At 41.1% G+C, this 4,470-nt stretch overlaps 1 long non-coding RNA gene across 3 annotated transcripts; it reads left to right on the top strand.

The window, feature by feature from the left end:
• The first annotated feature begins 417 nt into the window (after positions 1 to 417).
• On the top strand, positions 418 to 4,096 carry LOC105370934 (uncharacterized). 3 transcript variants are annotated; one of them, XR_932547.2, is made up of 4 exons: positions 418 to 521; positions 615 to 766; positions 2,012 to 2,080; positions 3,116 to 3,266. It is a non-coding gene; the product is annotated as an uncharacterized LOC105370934 (long non-coding RNA). The 3 variants fall into 3 exon arrangements; XR_932546.2 differs by lacking the exon at positions 3,116 to 3,266 and adding an exon at positions 3,333 to 4,096 and having other exon boundaries at positions 418 to 766; XR_932545.2 differs by having other exon boundaries at positions 418 to 766.
• Positions 4,097 to 4,470: the final 374 nt, after the last annotated feature.

The raw sequence follows: 4,470 nt of genomic DNA, 5'->3' as shown, positions 1-4,470 counted from the left end.
TTTTTAGTAGAGATGGGGTTTCACCATGTTGGTCAGGCTGGTCTCGAACTCCTGAGCTCAGGCAATCTGCCTACCTTGGCTTCCCAAAGTGCTAGGATTACAGGAATGAGCCACCATGCCCGGCCTCCACGCATACTTTTAAACTGAATAAAAGCAGTGCTTCTCATTCTTAAGGTCTCCAATGGACACCATCAGAATTAACTTTAACACGTGTCCAAATCCTGGAAATAAAATATAGATGGTAAATTTTGCTCAATCAAAAATTTTGCTCAATCAAAATTTTAATTTTTTAAAGCTAAAACATTCTTCTCATGACTGAACAATTTTCATTTTGAAAAGTTCAGTTGTGTATGTGTGAGTTCATGATGTCATAATGGAGATTGGGTTCAATTCAATAAAGAGATATGAAAGACCTATGTATTGGCCCCATTCTAGAGACGGTGGAGGGCAGAGAGAAATGACATGGAACTAACCTTAAGGAATGCACTATCTAGCCAGGAGACAGACATACAGCCAAATATGTAAGACGGTGGGATAACTCTAGCGGAACAGTTGTGTGCTGGAACCAGCTAGCCAGAGCCCATCTCTGTAGTGAGTGTGCATCTCTTCCCAAGTCTGCTTTTAGCGTCTTCACATTCATGGCTTGAAGGTGGCCATGGTGGGAGTATTTACACCACAGAAATCAGCAAATGCTATGCATCAGGGCCCTAGGAAGGCCAATTATGAAACACCAGCATATGACAGGATAGAAGATGTCAGAGAAAAGGTGCGTTTTGCAGAATGGAAATCTCAGTTTGGCGAGAGCTTTGGATGGAGGAGTAGGCAGTAAGACGAAGGGATGCCAGCTAGAAGGAATACATATATAGAGGCATAGCATGCTTAGGAAAAAAAAGTAGATCAGTGGCTCTCAAACTTAAATGTCCATCAACATCACCTGCAGGACTTGTTAAAACACAAATTGCTGGGCGCTGCCCCCCAGAGTTTCTGATTTAATAAATCTGGGGTAGGGACTGAGGATTTGCATTTCTAACAAGTTCTCAGGTGATACTAATGCTGCTGGTTTGGAGGGCCCCACTTTAAGAACCAACAGAAGTAGATGATGGAATACTCCATGCCATGCCAAAAAAAAAAAAAAAGAACCTGGGATTTTCTCTAGCTCCTCACCTTTTAAAATGTGTTCCAGGGGCCAGCAGCATCAGCATTTCTGGGAGCTTATTATAAAAGCAGACTCTCAGGCCCCCACCTCAGACTTGTTGACTCAGAATCTACAGTTTAACCAGATCACCAGGTGATCGTTATGTGTGTAAAAGTTTGATAAGCACTGCTCTATCAAGCCCACTGGTTCCCAGCCCGGGCCTGCACATTAGAATCCCCTGGAGAGGCTTTTCAAATGTACTTGTGCCCAGGTCCCACTGTAATGCACTTGATTTAGGATTGCGCCAGGGCATGGGTATGGTTTCAGAGCTCCCCAGGTGATAGTAATGTGCAACCAGGGCTGAGAACCACCGCTATAGGCATCACCCTCAGTTAGGAGAAGAGCTCCCCATCAGGGCACTGTAGTGAACATTCTGTGATGGAAGTTCGAAAGAGCAGCCAAAAGCTGCAAAGCCATCACTGCCTGCTGAGAACAGAACTGGAGCAGGGGCAGGCAGATTACTCTCTTTCATGCTTCTCCCCTCTCACCTCACAAATCTCTCTTCCTTTTGCTTGCCTTTGACCTCCTATTCTTTTAGTTTCTCTTTCGCTCTCCCTTAATGATTATATAATATTAGTTAATTTAAAAATTGGTTATAATTATATAACTATATAGCTAATTATATAACTATATATTAATTATATAGTAGTTAATATAAAAACACTTTCCACATGAGCATATCATTTTAGTATGTAAAACACTGAAATGTATATAGTCGACCCTTGAACAACATGTCCACTTATAGGCAGATTTTCTTCTGCCTCTGCCACCCCTGAGACAGCAAGGCCAACCCCTTCTCTTCCTCCTCCTCCTCAGCCTACTCAGCGTGAAGATGACGAGGATGAAGGCTTGCCTTTTTGATGATCCACTTCCCCTTAATGAACAGTAAATATATTTTCTCTTCCTTATGATTTTCTTAATAACATTTCATTTTCTCTAGCTTACTTTATTGTAAAAATATGGTATATAATACATATAACACACATCATATGTGTTAATCAACTGTTTCTGTTATCAGGCTTCAGGTCAACAGTAGTTAAGTTTTGGGAAAGTCAAAGATTAAACCTGAATTTTCAACTGCATGGAAGTAGGTGTCCCGAACCCACAAGTTATTCAAGGGTCAACTGTATTTAGTTTTAACATATGGAATGTTATTAGATAATGTGAAAAGGAGATAGCTTAAAAGCCCTTGTATTCTGAAAGCTACGTGGCTTTCATGTGCCATTTTAATAACAAGTAAATTGAATGTTTTGGATTTCTGTCTCTGAAACAAAACCAATACAACTACTAGTTGAGAAGCTTTGTATTTGCATATGGCCCTTGACAGACCCGCCACCACCCCCATCCCCAGACACACACCTCAGAATTTGACCCTAATCGAAGTTCTCACCCTATTTTAGGGCACGTGTCTATGCAGTGTGTACTATGAGAGCACACTTAGTGCAGTTAGATTATGTAGTCTTCTGGGACAGTTTGGCCATTCTAAGGGGCTTTGCCATACAATAAAAGCCATTAGCACTGAACTTCAAAGACATTAGGCTAAGTGAAAGAAACCAGACACAAAAGACTACCTATTGTATGATTCCATTTGTATAAAATGCCCAGAAAAGGCATACCTATAGAGACAGAAGGTAAATTAGCGGTTACCTGGGGTGGGAGAGAGAAATAACTGCAAATGGACACTGCGGGTTTTTGGTGGGGGGAGGGGATAGAAATGTTCTAAAATTAGATTATTCCTATTGTGGCACAATTCTATAAATATATTCAAAAACTATCTAATTGTACTGGTAAAATAGATGCATTCATTGATATGTAAATTATACCTCAATAAAGCTACTTAAAAATAGCAAATAACTAAAAAATTAGCACTAAATATTTCTCCACCTTAAAATAAGTTCTTTCACCCTCGTCCTTTTCTAGTAATATCCGGTGAAGACGAAGGAGCAAAATGGTTTTAAGGCAGACTCACTTATTTAAGAGAAGTATATATTCCCATTGCCGGTGGTTTGATACCATTTTTATTTGCTTTCAAGTACACTGAGGTCTGGCAAGGCAAGGAAAGGAGGGAGAAGGGGGAAAAAAGGAGGAAAGTTTGAAAAGAAATAAAAGCTATCGAACTTTTTTTTTTTTTTTTGAGACGGAGTTTCGCTCTTGAACCTGGGAGGCGGACGTTTTTAAAAACAGCTGCCTGGAGAAGCGGCCGGACGCAGGGGAAGGCTGCGCTGCCGGAAAGGGTTAACCCCGCGGGCGCCGACATCTGGCAGGAGCGAGGGCGTTGGCAGAGCCCGGTCCGCCCGTACCAGTCTGTACAGGGGAACTGTCCCGCCTGCTGATTTATCATTCCCTAATGTCACGGGGATGGGATGTTGAAATTGTGGCTAGAATGTGAAATACGAAAAACACGAAGATTATGATTTAGCGTCTGGGGAAGATCAGCGTTAGCCTGCAGAACAGCTTGTAAACGGGAGGCATCCTTGGCCCTAGCTTGTGGTTTTTGACTCCAACACTCAAGCTGGGGATCTGGGCGGGCAGAGCTTTCTTGGGTTAGAGCAGACAGGCAAAAGTGGAATTAATAAGAGCAAAACCACTTCTGTGCTGCTATGGGGATAGTGCGGGCGAGCGCCAGGAGGACCAAAGTAAATTTTAATTAAACAGAGACCTGATGTTGAAGGATAAATAAAACAACGTGGGGTGTAAACAGCTTAAATCAGGGATTCAAATGACACCTGCGGGTGTCTAGACATGAGGTGCATCCTGATAATTTATAGTCTCGGAGAAGATGCAGATGAGTAGGATAATATCTGCAAATTTTGCTCCTTAAAAGAAGTAATAGCTTGAATTTTAAGGAGGTACTAAATAAGGGAACTAAGTGGGAGAATGATTTTAACAGTTATCCGTGGAGGAAAAGGGGTTAGCAAAGAAACACAAAACTACATGTGTGTAAATCTTGCATTAAAAAAAGTAAAAGATCAATGCTTTGTGTGATTTCTTGCTTCCCTCCAAGGATTTACATAGTGTGTTGAAGTTTTTCTTTTCTTTCTTTCTTTTTTTTTTTTTTTTTTTTGCATTTCCATCTTTCAGCATGCCCCTATTTACAGGGAAAAATGCAGTTTCCACATTGTTTGTTGGTTATCAAAATAAGCGTTGACAACCGCTCCCTCAATGCTTACAGTTTGTTTTAATTACTTCCTGTCATACCAAATGCATCTACCATATGGATTTTAAGAATTGGCCTCAAGACATGGGCGTGCTGTGTTGAAAGTTAAATAGGACAG

The sequence above is a fragment of the Homo sapiens genome, chromosome 15 (assembly GCF_000001405.40).
Source record: "Homo sapiens chromosome 15, GRCh38.p14 Primary Assembly".
Taxonomy (NCBI): Eukaryota; Metazoa; Chordata; class Mammalia; order Primates; family Hominidae; genus Homo; species Homo sapiens.
The sequence above is the reverse complement of the archived record's forward strand: the minus strand, read 5'-3'. Positions and strand labels throughout refer to the sequence as shown.